Source organism: Homo sapiens, chromosome 7 (genome assembly GCF_000001405.40).
Source record: "Homo sapiens chromosome 7, GRCh38.p14 Primary Assembly".
Lineage (NCBI taxonomy): Eukaryota > Metazoa > Chordata > Mammalia > Primates > Hominidae > Homo > Homo sapiens.
Window position 1 is genome coordinate 50,104,807 of NC_000007.14, and position 19,006 is coordinate 50,123,812.

The 19,006-nt window shown below is 34.7% G+C and overlaps 1 protein-coding gene across 3 annotated transcripts in view; it reads left to right on the forward strand.

Annotated features, from left to right (window-relative positions):
* SPMIP7 (sperm microtubule inner protein 7) overlaps positions 1-19,006 on the forward strand; it is a 63,374-nt gene that overhangs the window by 8,924 nt on the left and 35,444 nt on the right. The window lies entirely within an intron of this gene.

The window sequence follows — 19,006 nt, forward strand, 5'->3', positions numbered from 1 at the left end:
TAGAGCAACGGATTAATGCTACTCTCCAGCTGCATTCTCACTAGCTTCTTTTCCTTCTCCTATTCTTCTGTCTTCCCTCCCCTTGGCCTGAGAGCATTCCCACAATATATCACTGGAACAACAATCCTCTCTGAATCCCTGCTCCTTAACAAGTAGTGTTGTTATTGTCATATTATTTGAGAAAACAGAAGCCCAATGTTGTTAAGTAACTGACTTTTGATAAGACAGATAATAAATATAAAACCAAAATTTAAACCTAAATATTTTTCAGAATTTGAGGATTATGTTCTTAATCATCTTCCTGTGTAGATTTTATAGTCTCTAAATCCTTGACATTTAAATTGAGATACTTAAAGAATCCTAAGACATACACAGATATAAAAACATTTTTAAAAAACAGCTTTATTGAGATATATGTCATGCATGATAAAATTCAACCCCTTAAAGAGTGCAATTCAATGTTCTTCGAATATTCACAGAGTTGTGCAACCATCACCACAATCTAATTTTAGATTTTTATTACCTCAAGAAAACCCATATTCATTAGCAGTAAAGGTATGAATACATTGTAAAGAATCAATTTTCATTTCTGTAACTCCTATATATATTTCTTCTAAAGTTGATCTGCCTGAGAATTTACCTGTATAGTGCCATGTTGATTTCTTTTTTTCTCACCTTTTCCTTCACAATAACTCTTTCTAGTTTACTACAAAGGGAAATGGGGCATACCTCTCACATATTAACAGCTGTACTATGGTACCTGGCCATGAAACAAAGGGCATGAAACAGAAAGGTCATTTAAAGTATATGTCCTCAATGCCTCCTTTACTCAAGATGTCACACACATGGTAGGACTTTATGTTTTTCTTTGTCCTGTGCATTTTTCTTTTATAAGAAAATTATGGTATTAGAAATAGTGGCAATTTTGCCTGTTCTAGGCTATTCTGAATTTAGACAAAATGCATAATGTGATTGCAAGGGTAATGAAAATTTTTATTTATTAATTTTATTTATTCTATCTTGAAATCCTTAACAAGAGATCCATTGGTCCTGCAGGTAAATCCTGTGAGAGCAAATCAAAGTGAACCTTATAAGAAACTGAAGACCTTGTTGCCTTTTTAAAAAACCTATGCTACAAATTTATGGCAAGATTCCATGCTTTAACTATTTTAAAACTAGAATTCTGAAGTAGGAACTTGTCATGGAAAGGCTTATTAGCATATTTATTTAAATCTAAAATAAGTTTAGACTTTTTATAGCAGTGAATAAATCTAGATATTATTTCCAGTAGTGGAAGCTAAGTAATATGGACCAATATTTCCAATGGCAAAACAACTGGATTAATGTTCCTTTTTTCTAATAAGGTAGAGAGAAATTACTGGGCCAACAAGAGGATAGACTCTCTAAAATTTAAGCCTAGCACTTAGGGCCACTGTGACACTGAAAGAATTTGCAATTTTTGAAGAGGCAACCAAAAGTTTGATTTGAACTTTTGGTGGTCTCATAGAAGTAAAAGATCAGAAGTTGGAGTTGATCCATACAAGCCACCTATGACTGTGGGCTGAATACCTGGAGGCCTGAACCCTCCAAGTAAGGATAGGTCAATAGTAAAAAGCACTTGAACAGACTGCAGCCTAGCTTAATCCAAGTAAATAAGAAAACTTCAAGTCCTGAACTAGGATGAAGGTGATCCTAGACTGCTCTCATTTCCAGAAATCAGGCAGAAGTAAATAACATTTTTCTTTGAAGGAAGATATTATCTTATTAAACCTCAAAGTATTTTCATTAAACACTTTTAAAGTGTAATGTTCATCACATAATTAACATATCCAAATACATAAGGAGAAAGTACACTATGAGTGAGAATCAGCAGAAATGAAAGAAAACAGAAACAGATACACACTGAGTCCATATGTTGCAAATATGCGTAAAATGTTGAAGGAGAAAAAAATGAGCTCACAATTTTTGTAAAAAAATTATAAATTACCAAATGGAAATTAGAAGACTGGGGAAGGGGCCAGGCATGGTGTCTCACACCTGTAATCTTAGCACTTTGGGAGGCCAAGGCAGGATCACTTGAGGCCAGGAGTTTGAGACCAGTCTGGCCAACATAGCAAAACCCCATCTGTACTAAAAATACAAATATTAGGCCAGGCACGGTGGCTCACACCTGTAATCCCAGCACTTTGGGAGTCCAAGGTGGGCGGATCACCTGAGGTCAGGAGTTTGAGACCAGTCTGGCCAACATGGCAAAACCCCATCTCTATTAAAAATACAAAAATTATCCAGGTGGGGTGGCACATGTCTGGGAGGTCAAGGCAGGTGGATCACCTGAGGTCAGGAGTTTGAAACCAGTCTGGCCAACATGGCAAAACCCCATTTCTATTAAAAATACAAAAGTTATCCAGGTGTGGTGGCACGTGTCTGTAGTCCCAGCTACTTGGGAGGCTAAGGCAGGAGAATTGCTTGAACCCAGGAGGCGGAGGTTGCAGTGAGCCGAGATAGCACCACTGCACTCCACGCTCCAATCTGGATGACAGAATGAGACTCTGTCTCAAAAAAAAAAAAAAAAAAAAAAAGAAAAGAAAAGAAAAAGAAAAAAAAAAAAGAAAATTGGGGGTAAAAGCAATTCCAGAACTGAAAAATACAATAAACAAAGAACTTTATAGATGGGTTCAGTAATAGATTAGATACAGTTAGAGAGGTAATTGGAGAATTGGAGAACTGGTAGATAAATCAGAAGAAACTATGGTGAAGCACAAATATACAAAAATATGAAAAATACAGAAGTGAAAGTCACAAAACTAGGAAATATAGGCAGAAAAAATAACACATGCTTATTTGGAATCCCAAAAGCGTAAGAGAGAAGAAATAGAACACAAGCTAAGATACGATTTTTATATCCACTGCGTGTTTATTTCTGATATCTCCCTGAGGCATCCCCTTACATTCTCTGCTGCACATTGAGGATGAGTTATGGTTCCAAACAAACAAGCCAAAGGTGACAGCAACAGAAGCATTCTGGCAGTCTCAGCCCCAGCACCAAGAGTAGTGGCAGAAAAAGTCTCAAGTTAAAGGAGGCAAAGCAGGAAGAACATAAGAATGGAAAAAGGAAAAATCTGAAAGTTCATTTTTCAACATAGTTTATGGTAATTGCATTATTTGGAATCTGGACGTCAGTGCCATATTTTGTCAGGTCTTGTTAAATATGAAGCAATTCTGGAAATTGAGGCATTTAATGATGCTGATGGTGCTAAAGTTTTATTAGGACATAAAGGAAGTTCTACTTCAATGTGATTACTTTTATTAGAAGAAACTAAGGAACATTTAGAGTTAGAAGTAGAGATTCCCACTGAATCAGATTACAAGAATAGTAAAGATATCAAAGAGCAAATTTAGTCCCTTCTCTATGAAATAGTAGACACACAACATGTAGAAGACAGCAATAGAGAGAAGATGCACCAGCAAGAAAATAGCCACTAGAAAGTGAAGACAGACAGCAAGGAAATTAGGTAGATGATAAATTTGAGTATCTGGAAATGAAAACATTTTATAAATAAACTGAAGATACATAACATACACAAGTGAGTTTGTAGGAATATAATCAGAAAGTGGAAGAGATGCTATATTAGAGAAAAATCTAGATTCCCCTGAAAGATTATGCCATACTATCATGATATAGCACACCAAGATAATAGTCAACAAGCATGTCAACTATAGAAAATATGACATAAATTTCAGATACTGCTAGAGAAGAATTAAACACAGGTTTAGAAAAAGTAGTTGTCTCTTTGATAAAGGGCAATAAAAACTGGTGTATTTCAGACTATGATGACTCCAGCTGATGGGAGTTATTATCAACAGTGATACTTACATTGATTGTACCTACCCTGATATTTTTGTCAGAAATTACTATATTAGTTTCAAACATACTACTTAAGAAATAAATTTTTATCTATTTGAAACATGTACATAATTAATTAGAAAAAAGTTAATGACATTTCAATAGAAGTTTGAAATGACCATAATGTAGTTATTTCAGTTATCAAAGTACAGGGGATTGGGTTGTAAAATGCCTCTTAGGACACAAGCAAAATATATGAATTGATGTATAGTACAAAACACGTCTTAGCACCTTAGACAGGTCATATCATAGCTGCTGTTATTAGACACCTGTTTAAATTTTAGGAAACTTACATAAATTACTAGCACTTAATTTCAGGCTTGTTTTGCCTCTGGCTAATTAAGCACTTTCATACCAGTTGCTTTAGTATTGCACTATGTTTTTGAAATAAAAGTGAATAAAGCCTCCCCATTAAGATTGATTTATGATATATAAAATGTTCTCATGGCCTACTTGTTTACAAAGAATAAACCATTTTCACTGGAATTTACCTATTTATGGCTCAGAAATAGTTTTATGTTGAAAATATTTATATTTTAGAAAAGGAGATAAACACAACTTCATTCATGAAATAAATATTAGCCTAAAGAATAATAAGAAATGTTTTCCTTTAAGTGTCAGAGGCAGCATTTGATCAAGTTAACACAGTTTAATTTATTTATTTATTTATTTATTTATTTATTTAAGACAGAGTCTTGCTCTGTCACCCCAGCGGAGTGCAGCGGCATGATCTTAGCTCACTGCAACCTCTACCTCCTGGGTTCAAGCAATTCTCATGCTTCATCCTCCCGAGTAGCTGGGATTACAGGCATGTGCCACCACGCCTGGCTATGTTTTGTATTTTTAGCAGAGACAGGTTTCACCATGTTGGCCTGGTTGTTCTCGAACTCCTGACCTCAAGTGATCCACCCGCCTCGGCCTCCCAAAGTGCTGGGTTTACAGGTGTGAGCCACCATGCCAGGCCAACACTATTTTAAAATAAGGTAATTGTTTTGGTTACTAGGGTCAAAATCAAAGAGATTATATATTTTTATTATATCTACCTCAAATTGCAATCTAATAATTTCTGCATATGTAGAATAACCCAAAATAATAAGCTGGTAAAATAAGCTGTAATTTTTCTGATGCAATATTACTGATAGATACAGCACTGATATTGTTGATACAACATTGACATTAATTTGAATAATGTTCATTTATATTCTCAAATTTAGAACACTATTACTTTCATAAAACAATACTTTTATAAGAAGCTTAGGAGTAAAAGAACTGATAAATAAATAAAGTAAGTTTTACTGGATTTTTTGGTACACAATCATTCATAAAATTCTGGGAATTGAGGATCAATTCTGCTGTAGTCAATTTGAATATTTTGTAATTCCATATCTGAATAAATAAAGCTTGTATTTAATTATGTGGTAAAATGAAAATAGTTAATAAATTTTTTAAATGTAAAATTTCTTCATTTAATATTATTTGAAAGCAACAAAATACAGAAGAATTTAAAAAGTAAAGACCTAATCAACCAGAGAAAAACTGCATAAAACCAAAATCAATGATAATATCTTAAAAGCGGCCAGAGGTGGGGGAAAAAAACACAGATTACCTTCAAAGGCTTGACAGATCTTTTCTACATAGCAATGATAGATTACAACAGGAGTTCTTATATATATTTATTTATTACATATTTAACATATAATATATTCATATTTAATATGTTGTATATAGTTTATATATTATATATTGTATATGTGATATATATTTTTATATATTATATTATGTGCTATACATTATATTTATATATTTGATACATTATATTTATATATTTGATATATATTATATGCTTATATTTATATATAATATTTACTACATTTACATTTGACATAGTATATACTAATATTTATGTATAATATATACTACATATTATATAAATATATTATATAATGTGTGTACATCACATATATCATATAATACATTATATATACATATTATTATATAATATATTGCATATATTATATTAAATATTATATATAAATATGTTATGTTATATGATATAGATTATAATGTATAATTATAACTAATATGATATCTAACATATATAATATAATATATAATCATATTATATATTATATATTATAATATATAATTAGATATTATACTATATTACTATATATTATTACATAATATATGATTATATATAAAAAGCATAAGCTAATATATAATATGTAAAATATAAATATATATTTATAATATGTAAACCATCAGCTAATATATATAATAAATATATATGTAATATCTTTATTATATATAAAATGTATATTATATATTTATTATATATGATGTTATATTATCATATATATGATAAAATGTTCTATTATATTATATGTGTATATGTTATATATATATATTATATTATGTTATATATGTATTGAAATGGTGTCATTGTCTGGGGTAATACCCGAGATTTGTTGTCCCTTGGCCATGGAAAACTAAGACACATCAGACTGTGGATAAGAGTGGTTGTTTAACAGGCAAAAGAAAGAAAAGAGCTCTCTGCACAGAGAGGCTTCCTGGAGAAAATGGGTTCCTGCTTCTGCAGTGAAATGCAGGTTTTGTAGATGAGACTGAGGAGGTGGTGTCTAATTTACATAGGGCACACAAGATTGACTGAACCAGATGTTCCATTTGCATAGCACATGAGAATCTGGCCAATGCCACCCTAATCTTATTATGTAGATGGGTTCTCTACCTGGCTGGCACCATGTTGCTTACTTTTTACTGTACACGTGGTGACAAAGAAAAGGGAAGATGGAGCCTCCATGTTGAATATACCTGGCTTCCTGGTAGCCCTTCCCTATTGGCACAGCTGTCAGCATTCACACATGCAAACTTCGAGCATACTTATCTATGTTTACAGCTAGATTTTTCAGGCTGATCTTTGTTAGAAAAGAAATGATTTGGGTGCTGCTTTTTGTTAAAAGGGAAACCCTGTCAAGGATTCTGTTGCACTTACTATCTACTTAAATAATTTGTTTCTAGCTCCTGTATCAACATGACAGTGTATTTTGCTACACTGACAGAGAGACCACCATTAAATTAAAAATATTGCAAACCACACAAAATCCACAAAATGAATAGAAGAAAATAAAATAAATCTATTCAAAATTCAACCAACCGTAATAAAACAAAATACAAGAATCAAAACAATCTAGTGAAGACAATTACTCCCACGTCAACTATTTAGCAGTAAATGAAACATTGTACTACACCACTACAAATTGAATTACATATTTTCAAATAAGCCTTTGAGATTATAAAGGTCTGCCTTCATACAGAAATCCAAAAATTAAATACAAATCAGTGACAAAAAATAATACAAAATTATCTTGGAATAATAATTAAATGGTGCAAAGGAAAAACAGAGAAAACCAAAATTTAACAAAGGACGTTGAATAAAAAATGAAAAAATATTCAAGAGAATGAACATGAGATAAAGAATATTTAAAAGTGTTAAAGAGAAGATGGTTGAAGTGGAAGATAAACAAAGAAGAAACAATATACATATAATTGGAGGTCCTGAAGAGCAAAAACCAAGCAGTGGAACAGAATGTGTTAAACCATGGTTTCTGGACCTTGGCATGGTCAGAATTTTGGGCTTCATAAATCTTTGCTGAAGGAGACTATCCTGTGCAATGTAGGATGATTAGCAACACCCCTGACCTCACCCACTAGATGCCAGTAGCACCCTTCCCAGGTGAAAAGCTACAAAATGAACAGCAAAGTAAATCAAAAGAAAGCACGAAAAGAAAAATAAAAAAATGATAAGCAAAGTAATGAATAAATTAGAGAAGATGAAGTAACGGGCACTCAAGCTACTTTTCTGCTTTAGCCAAATAGAAAACTGGACAAATTATAAAAAATAATCATTTCCAGACACTGGCCAAAGGCACTGAAGGACTGGGATCTCTAAAGAAGGGAAACTAACGATGTGAGCCCTGCAATTACACCAGCTTGCTTCCTGGGGGCAGTTTTTAAGCCACAGCCCAGGAAAGTGAAACCCAAACATAGCTTTACATTCTTGTTGGATTGAGGAGAGAGATTAGAGTTCTGGGAAGCCAAGGAATGTAGAATTTGCAGGGTAAGATAGCAGAGAAGAGGGAGTTATCCGGATGTGGAGGAGCAGTGGGGCTTTGGAGATATGCAAAAGAGATCGCTCAGGTCTTTGGGTACTGATCTATGTAAACATAAAAGGAACTACTAAAGCTAAGGAAAAACCCACTGTAAAGAAGTGGGCATAAGCTTTCCCTGAAACTCAAACAGGACAGGGAACGTTTTATGTCCCCACAAACTAGAATAAAAAACTTTATAGTACATAGGTACATCAGGTCAGATCTTCAAAGGGATATTACCTTTGTAGTCAGGCTTAACTAGTCCAACTTTAAAGATTCCTCTGGACTTTCTCAAATTTTAAAAGCATCCGACTGATTCCAATTACTTTATTTGCTGGAAAAAAAATCCAAAACTTAAGAATAAAACAACTTCCAGCAACCAACCAACAACTTAAAGTCCAAAATAAGTTCTCAGTTTAAAAAATAAAATGAAACTACTTTTCATGCAAAGAAGCAGAAAAATATCACCCAGGGGAAAAATCTGTCAATAATAACAGATCTATGAGTGACAGACATAGAAGACCAAGCAGCTATTGTATTCAAACAGCTATTACAAATCTGTTTCATATGTTCAGATCATAGAGACAGCCACAACCATGATGAGAACAAGGGATGATATGAAGATACAAACGGACTTCTAGACATGAAAAATACATCTGAAGTAAAAGATAAGTTGGTAGTTTTAAGAACAGAGCAGATCTTGCATGATGAAAGATCAGTGAAAATAAAGACATAGCAACATAAACTATTCAAAACGAAAAGAGAGAAAATAAAGCTTCAAAATAAAGCATCAGTTACTGCGGAACGGTATCTAGTAAGAAGTCTAACATACATGCATTGGGGTCTCAGAATAAAAGTGAGCTGAGAAAAAAGATTGGTGACACAATGACACAAATTGTTCCTAACTGATCAAAATTATAAATCTGAAGACACAAGATGTTCAACAAATTTCAATCTGTATAAATTTTTTTTAAAATTATGCCCAAAACACATCAATGACATTGCTGAAAAACAGTGATAAAGATAAAATCTTAAAAACAGCTAGAGAAAAGATATTTACAAAGAAACACATGTAAGAATGACTTCTGGCTTTTTGTCAGTTTCTGCAAGCCAGAAGAAAATAAATGCACATATTTTAAGTAACAAAAACAAATAACAATAAACTAAGAAGATATTAACTAACAATAAAAATATTTAAAATTAGAGGCAAAATAGAAACATTTTTTGTAAAAACAAAGCTGAAAGAATGCACTGCCAGTAGACCTGAAGGAATTTCTTTAGACAGAAGAAAATAATGTATATGAAAATTCAAGTTCACACAATGAAATAAATTGAGGTGAACAGAAATGGTAAACATATGGGTAAATATAAAATACTATTTTTCATCTTGGAGTTCTTTACAGTATCACTGTTTAAAGCAACAATAATAGTAATGTGTTTCAGGTTTATAGCATATAAAAAAGTAAATTGTGTGACAGTAGTATAAGGGACAGCAAAGAAAATGAGCATATGCTGTTTAAATTTTTTTACACTATTTTTGAAATGATATATTATTATCCTGTAAACCCTGGAGTTAAAGATGTATATTGTAAAATATGTATACTATAAATCCTAGAGAGACAGCAACAACAGAAAAGAAAAAAATTTTTAAAGCATATGTAGTAAGTTAATAGGAGATAAAATGAAATTTTAAAATTAAAAAAATTCTTAACTAACTCAAAAGAAAGTAACACAAAAGAAAAATAGAGAAGATAAAACAAATAGAAAACAAAAACAGATTTAAACTAAATTATGTCCACTGTTAAATAGAATTTAATATAATGAACTTAAAAGTCACAAATTGTTAGTTGGATAAAAAATTAAGACCCAGCCGGGTGAGGTGGCTCACGCCTGTAATTCCAGCACTTTGGGACGCTGAGGAGAGTGGACCACCTGAGGTCAGGAGTTCAAGACCAACCTGACTAACATGGTAAAACCCTGTCTCTATTAAAAATACAAAAATTAGCCGGATGTAGTGGCGGGCGCCTGTAATCCCAGCTACTTGGGAGGCTGAGGCAGTAGAGACACTTGAACCTGGGAGGCAGAGGTTGCAGTGAGCCGAGATCACACCATTGTGCTACAGCCTGGGCAACAGAGTGAGATTCTGTCTCCAAAAAAAAAAAAAAAAATTAGTACCCTACTTATACGCTGACCACAAGAAAACCATGTGAAATATAAATAGAAGTTTAAGGTAAGATGTGAAAATATATATCATTCAAAAACTAGTCAAATTAATGCAGAATTAGCTGTAATAACATCAGACAAAGTGAATTTCAGAACAAGAAATTTTACTAAGGACTCAGATATTTTACAATAGGAAAGGGATCAATCCATAAAATGTACATAAAATGTATTTAAAATGTATATCACCTAATAACAGAACTCAAAATACATGAAGCACAAACTTATAGGACTGAAAGGCAGATTTACCGTTAGTAGATATCTCAAAACTCTGTCCTCAGTAGTTTATAGGAAAGGTAGACAGAAAAAAAGGGGGATATGGAACATATGAAAACTATTATGAACTAACTTGACCTAATTGATATAAATACCAATGGCACACAGAACATTCACTGAGATAAATTATATTCTGGAATATCAAACACATCAAATGAAATCAAAAAATTGAAATTATAGAAAGATGTTCTCGGATTGCAACAAAATTAAACTAGAACTCAATAATAAAAGATGCCTGGTAAAAAATAAAAACATATGTGCACATTTAGAATATAGTGATATACAAATGGTTAATACATCATTATAAAGTTAGGTTTATTCAGGTATGTAAGTTTTGCTTAACTTTAGAAAATTGATAAATGTGATTCATTGTGTTAACTGATTAAAATACAAGTCATCTACTCATCTCAAGATATGAAAAAAAATTGACAAAAAGGATTGACATTATCCTTAAATTAATAATGGATGTCTGTGAAAAGGTAAATCAAACTTAATATTAAATAGTGAAATGTTGAAAGCATCCCCTGTGTAAGCAATCTCAAGCAAGTATGTCCTCTTTCACGTTCTCTTTTCTCCTCCTCCTTTCACCTAAGCACTGAAGTTCTTAGCCAGCCCAGTTAAGCAAACATAAAAATGGTATACAAATTGGAGGTGACTAAACAACCCTAATATTCTTGTCAATATGATTATGTATGTAAACATCCAAATAAATATGCAATTAAATTACTTTTCATTTTATTTTACCTTATTTTATTTTTAAGACAGAGTCCTGCTTTGTCACCCAGGCTGGAGTGTAGTGGCGTGATCACAGCTCACTGCAGCCTCAACCTCCCAAGCTCAAGCCATCATCCTGCCTCAGCCCCCCAGGTATCTGGGACTACAGGCATGCACCACCATGCCCAGCTAATTTTTGTATTTTTGTGGAGACAGGGTCTCCCCATGTTGCCCAAGCTGGTCTGGAACTCCTGAGCTTAGGCAGTCTGCCACTGACTCCAGCCTATACAGTTAAACTACTATGATAAAAAGAAACTGAATAAGGTTTTTAGAAATGAACATTATTGGAAATGCATTTATTGTATTCTAAATATCAGCAAGAAACAGAAAGTTTTAAAACATTTAACCATTGTATCAAAAACTATTCACTGTTGAGTAATAAATTTATGAAACTGTATTCAAGAATCCTATGGCAAAACTAGTAAATGTATTGAGAGAAAATCTAAAACCTAAATAGACAGGGCAATATGCTATTATCTGGAATGGAAACTTAAAATGTTTAAAAAGTTTAGAGCTTCCTAAGTTGATTTATAGTTTCAGTGCCATCTAAATCAATATTCTAACTATATTTTTGTGGGATTTTGAAAAGTTCTTTAAAAAAATGGATACATAAAAACAAAGAATCAGAAATAACTAAGACTATTCTTAAGTAGAGGGGAAAAATTCAATATCCTTTTATAGCAACTTGCTGGCCTCATAAGGGTCACAATGTTTTAATGGAAAAACTTCTGTTTTCAAGAAAAAAATGTTCACTCGCTAGGATGTAACCTGAGTGTTGAAGCAATTCTCCTCTTGCCTGAGAGAATAAAAACTACTCAAAGCTTTTCCTGACCTACAATTAAAAGAAACAATAAGAGGCGTTCTCAAGCTTGCAGGATAATACAGATTCTGGGTCCCACATTTTCCCTAATGGCCTCACCATTGGGTTAGCTTACTAGAAACTCAGTATCAGAGCCTTTACCTTGAGAAGACAGCCATGAGGAGGCTTTTCTGCAAATGAAAATAGCCTTACAACAGCCTTCAGTTTTATGACTTCCAAATTATGCTAAACCTTTCACGCTGTTCATTCATGAAAATAACATTCAGGCATTAGGAGTACTTACCCAAAAACATGAAGGAAAATAGAGGCCAATCACATATTATAGCCTGTGATTGGACTCAGTAGCTAAGCCATATTTTAATTGTTTAAAAGCGGTAGCAGCAGCAGCCAAATTGGTAGTTTCATCTGAGCCGCTTTTAAGACACGACCTTTATTTGCAAGTCTTGCACACTGCAAAAAAAAATATATTAAATTCCAGACAAACTCTGTATTTGTCAGCAAATAGATTAACACCTTCTGGAATTCTTCTCTTGTCTCCTAATTTCTATCTGAAATGTTGCAACTTACTTAACCCTGCTACTCTACTACCCCTGCCTCATGCAGGTGAAGACCACAATTGTGAGTGTAGTGTTAGAAATAGTGGCTCCTCATGTTCATATGTGAGATAATCCCTTTGATAATCCTGAGTTGATACTTTTTGTTTTTTGGTCTTATTATAAAACTCAGAAGGAAAATACCAGGCAGGGTATGATCTTATCACCTGAAATGAGTTAATACAGAAGAGAACTCTCACCTAATATAAGTCAGTTTCTCCTGAGCTTGTACATATAGCTAAAGACATGTCAGTAAATATTTATACAGATAGTTACATGCTTTTGGAGTAGTCCGTGATTTTGGCGTGTTATAGAAACAAAGAGGGGGACCCCCCATTAAAAACAGTCTCCAAGCAAATGCACTCCTTTCTGCTAGCCTCTTATCATCACGAACTGCCATTATTAAGATTGAAGATCATAGCTGTAAAACTAAACCTGAGTATCAAAGGAATTCCCTGGCAGATTTCTATGCTAAATCAACTAGTGCTGAAACTGTTAGGATACACAATTTGAATAAACTCTGTAAGATTGATCCAAGTCAACTCCCCTATGTTGACCTATTTAACAAACTGTGAAATGTGCCTGATTTGGAAAAACAAAATTGGTATCCGAATGCCTGTAAATTCAGTGTTAAACCTGAACTCAAAGAGCTCTCAGATGGGTGCCTAATACTTCCTTCTGGTACTTCCTGAGTCCTTGAAGCTTCCACTGTTAAAAGTTTTGCACTCCACAAAGCTCTTCACTCTACAACTCATCATGTAACAGACAGCATGATCCAAATTATGAACAAATACTGGTGGGGTAACTGTTATCAAATTGATAAAATGGTTCATAACCAATGTTTGGTTTGTCAAACTCATAATCCTGTGAAAACAATAAAAACTTCAGGTGGTGTATTTTCACTACCGGACTTTATTCAATTGTCATTTTCAGTGGGATATCTGTATATTTACATGTTATCTGGCTGGATAGAAGCTTTCCCATCTGAGAAAGCTGATCTTATGATGGTAGCTAAGAAGTTATTTAAAAAGTATTTCCTTTATGGAGCATCCCTGGAGAAATCTCCAGCAACAGAGGAACCTATTTCACTGGACAATTTAGAAACAGTCGAATAAGCTTATGCACCCAATGGCATCACCATTGTCCCTATTACCCTTAGTCTTCTGGAAAGGTCAAAAGACAAATGGCATTTTACAGCTGAAATTGGCAAAGTTAACTGAATCAATTTGATTGCGCTGGCTTTAATGGTAATCATTACTGAGGTAATATTACCTCGGCTTTAATGGTAATCAAATCCACCCCCAGTGGAAAACATCGATTGACTCCTTATGGAATAGTTCCTGGAAGGCATATGCCCTTAATAATAGAACCTCGTGTATCTTCCATTATCCTAAACTCTGATATGACTAAATACTGCAGGCTTTAATGCATTATGTCATAGTGTATTTTCACCAGGTGAAGGAGATCTTCCATGACCCACAGACTGAGAACAACCAGACCTTTCAAAACCCAGAACCTGGAGATTGGATCTTCTGAAAATGACATCAGAGACCTCATTGAACCCATGGTCCTCTCCCTATTGGAAGAGACCATACCAAGTTCTACTTGCCACCCACGCTGCAGTAAAATATCAAAGGCTTAAACCTTGGGTTCACATGTTAAAGCTCAAAAGGGCCCCTCCAAGCTCCTGGAAATGTATACCTGTTTGAGAATTGAAGGTAAACCTGACCAGGAAAACTTTTCCCCAGAAGCAGATGCCATCCTAGACATTAACAGCTATCCTAACGCCATAGATCAAGACTTTTCTGACATCATGAAAACTGAAAACCTTATCCTTTTTCCTCTTTTTCCTATTTCTGCCATCCTAATCGTTCCCTTTCTTTACAGGAAAAGCCATGGACTGTAATTTGTGGATGGCTTTAGCAAAGGCTTATGCTCCAGTAAGAAACCAAAACAATTGTTAAATTTGTAGCTAATGCCCCCAAATCAGGAAACGATTCCACTAATGCCACTGCCTGTCTGTGTTACCAGTGACAGTCATGCTAAAACCTCAAAGGAGGAGTAGAAATTGATATTCTAGACATGACTGCTACTTGCTTTCCTATGCTTATTGAAAACAATACTCTGACCTTTCCAGTTAATAACAGAATGGCTACTAAATATAAAAAACCTATCAAAGTGATGCCTACAAAAGGTATGTTGTGCTTCCGAGCATTGAATACTCAAGATTTGGGGATCACTTATGAGGGTACAAGTAATTGCTTGTATGATGTCGCTGGACTAAATCCAGTAAGGTCTCGTTCCACTGAATACTGTTATGCATCCTTCCAGCATGCTATAAAGGGACCACACACAGAAAATAAATTACTCGCTGAACCTGGCTCACGCGCTATGTAGGCCTATGGGTGAAAAAGTGTAACTGGCCTCTGCTCACATGCCACCAGGTGGCCCTCTTTTCCAGCTCCTGGGGGCCTGCAGACACATTGGGTCTGAGGAGAATTTGTTTACTGTGTTCTGCTTGCTGGTTCATATCTTGCTAATGGGCCTGGCTCACTCCTGTCTTCCAAATAGCTTTCTCTGAAAGTTTCCATAATACCTTCCATAATCAAAGGCCAAAGTGATCAATAACCAAAATTCATACTAACCTTAAAGTGGAATGAAGATAAGTTAATTTCCACTGAGAAAAGTTTCTAACGAGGTTCCTGGATGCTCACTCTTGTTGGTAGATGGTGCCAGTTGTATGGAACTTGAAGGTAATCCATAAATTGGGAAAAAATCTTGAAATTTGTAGCCAATTATATTTTCCAGGGTTTAAATGGGAAGAAGCCACTCTCCTGAAGGGGGATAAAAAAAGGTCATGTTCAGCAAAAACACTTAATGGAACACTGTACGGTGTTAGATCTCTTCTTGGCTTATGTTGGGGTCTTGCCCATGGTGCTAAACAGAACTGAATGCTGCACTTACCTTCACGCTGGTTTTACTACTACAGAAAGCTTAATTTAAAAGGTAGCCAACACTGCAATTCCTGTAAACACTGCCACCGAATGCACCAGGGACATTTCTCAGGGGAAAGAAACACATGACGTGATTATGGGAGTAGCTAACAGCTGGTTTGCAGGCGTCCTAAATGGTGGATGGCAAGGCTGGCTAGTCTAAGATTTTTCTCATCTCTGTGTTTCATTTAATCATGTACAGATTACTATGATTGATATTACCAGGCTAACTACAAAAATAGATATCTCTTTAAATCAGACCATTTTACAGCACACTATGGTTCTTAATTGCCACTCCACCCCAAACACAGACTATGACCACTAAGACTTAAATACTGATGAATTGTCTTTATTGCCTGAATTTTGAATTGTTTGTTCTGATGAGTTTGGTTCGCAGAGATTCCTGTTGCATAGTGTACTTCACTTTCTTTATATTATCCTCCCAATAGCCATTATAGTGGCCTCCCTCCTGTGTTATATCCCTTAAGAATTATAAATGCTCATACGTAGCCATCCTTTGTACATCAAAAGATCTCATTACAGTTAGAGTAAAAAAACACGAGGAAAGCATAATCATCCAACTAATTTCATATAATGAATTGTGAATTTATATAGAGATCAAACAAGTCCATTATGAAGGTGACAGAAAGGAGTATCAGTGCCAAGGTTTTGGTCAATCTCTTAAAATTGAGTGGCTGAGCAAAAGAGAATAATTGTTAAATTAAATTACATTTGGCCTGAAACTAACCTACGTATGTAATAAACTGTAATCTAAATTATAGGTGAACCAACTGCAACCTAACAACTTGTGAGTAAATTCTTAGAACATGCAGCTGTGTTGCAGCCAATCATAGCAGCCAAGCTTTCAGCCAATCACAGGCTGCAAACCAGCAAAAGATGTTAAACTAAGGCAAACACAGAACTGTAACCATGTAGACTATTTTTGTATGTCACTTCTGTTTTCTGGCTATAAATATTCCCTGCCCACATTTTGTAGTGGAACTCTCTGAACTGCTTTTGTGTTGAGTGCTACCTTTTTCACGAATCTTTTTTTTCTGCCCAGTTAAACACTGTTCAATTTAATTAAAGGTTCTTTTTTTTTTCTTTTCTTTTTTTGAGATGGCGTCTCACTGTGTCACCCAGGCTGGAGTGCAATGGCATGATCTCAGCTCACTGCAACCTCCGCCTCCCAGGTTCAAGCAATTCTCCTGCCTCAGCCTCCTGAGTAGCTAGGATTACAGGCACTTGCCATCATGCCCAGCTAATTTTTGTTTTTTTTCTTGTAGAGATGGAGTTTCACCATGTTGACCAGGCTGGCCTTGAACTCCTGACCTCAGATGATCCTCCGGCCTCGACCTCCCAAAGTGCTGGGATTACAGGCATGAGCCACCACACCTGGCTTTTCTTTTTAATAGTAACATTCACAGGTTCCAGGGATTTGAACATGGATATATTTGGAGGTTAAATATGAATATATTAAAATGATTTAAAAAATTCAAGTAAAGGAAATGAGGGAAATTTATTGCCAACAAGTGTACATTAAAAGAAATCCTGCCTAATAAAATATTACTTTTTTCCTTTTAAGGTTCATATGATTGTTTTAAATAAAAGTATAACATTGTCCTCTGAATGTATGTATGACAACTGTAGAGTAAGAGATGAAAGCATGTGATAAACTAATATAAGAGCCCTCAGAAATAACGCCGCATATCTACAACTATCTGATCTTTGACAAACCTGAGAAAAACAAGCAATGGGGAAAGGATTCCCTATTTAATAAATGGTGCTGGGAAAACTGGCTAGCCATATGTAGAAAGCTGAAACTGGATCCCTTCCTTACACCTTATACAAAAATCAATTCAAGATGGATTAAAGACTTAAACGTTAGACCTAAAACCATAAAAACCCTAGAAGAAAACCTAGGCATTACCATTCAGGACATAGGCATGGGCAAGGACTTCATGTCTAAAACACTAAAAGCAATGGCAACAAAAGCCAAAATTGACAAATGGGATCTAATTAAACTAAAGAGCTTCTGCACAGCAAAAGAAACTACCATCAGAGTGAACAGGCAACCTACAAAATGGGAGAAAATTTTTGCAACCTACTCATCTGACAAAGGGCTAATATCCAGAATCTACAATGAACTCAAACAAATTTACAAGAAAAAAACAAACAGCCCCATCAAAAAGTGGGCAAAGGACATGAACAGACACTTCTCAAAAGAAGACATTTATGCAGCCAAAAAACACATGAAAAAATGCTCATCATCACTGGCCATCAGACAAATGCAAATCAAAACCACAATGAGATACCATTTCACACTAGTTAGAATGGCAATCATTAAAAAGTCAGGAAACAACAGGTGCTGGAGAGGATGTGGAGAAATAGGAACACTTTTACACTGTTGGTGGGACTGTAAACTAGTTCAACCATTGTGGAAGTCAGTGTGGCCATTCCTCAGGGATCTAGAACCAGAAATACCATTTGACCCAGCCATCCCATTACTGGGTATATACCTAAAGGGCTATAAATCATGCTGCTATAAAGACACATGCACACGTATGTTTATTGCGGCACTATTCACAATAGCAAAGACTTGGAACCAACCCAAATGTCCAACAATGATAGACTGGATTAAGAAAATGTGGCACATATACACCATGGAATACTATGCAGCCATAAAAAATGATGAGTTCATGTCCTTTGTAGGGACATGGATGAAATTGGAAATCATCATTCTCAGTAAACTATCGCAAGAACAAAAAACCAAACACCGCATATTCTCACTCATAGGTGGGAATTGAACAATGAGAACACATGGACACAGGAAGGGGTACATCACACTCTGGGGACTGTTGTGGGGTGGGGGAAGGGGGGAGGGATAGCATTAGGAGATATACCTAATGCTAGATGACGAGTTAGTGGTTGCAGCGCACCAGCATGTCACATGTATACATATGTAACTAACATGCACATTGTGCACATGTACCCTAAAACTTAAAGTATAATAATAAATAAATAAATAAATAAATAAATAAATAAAAAGCTTGAAATGTTTGTACACGTTATGTGAAGTGGTATGTTAACTCTAAGTGAACTGTGGAGAGTTAAGCATGCACATTGTTTCTTCTAGAGGAGTCACTAAAACGCAATGTAAAGAAGTATAGTTAAAGAGTCAATTGATGGCTTAAGTTGGAATTCTAAAAAAGCAAAAAGACAAATTTAAATAATTCCCAAAAAGACAGAAAAAAAAG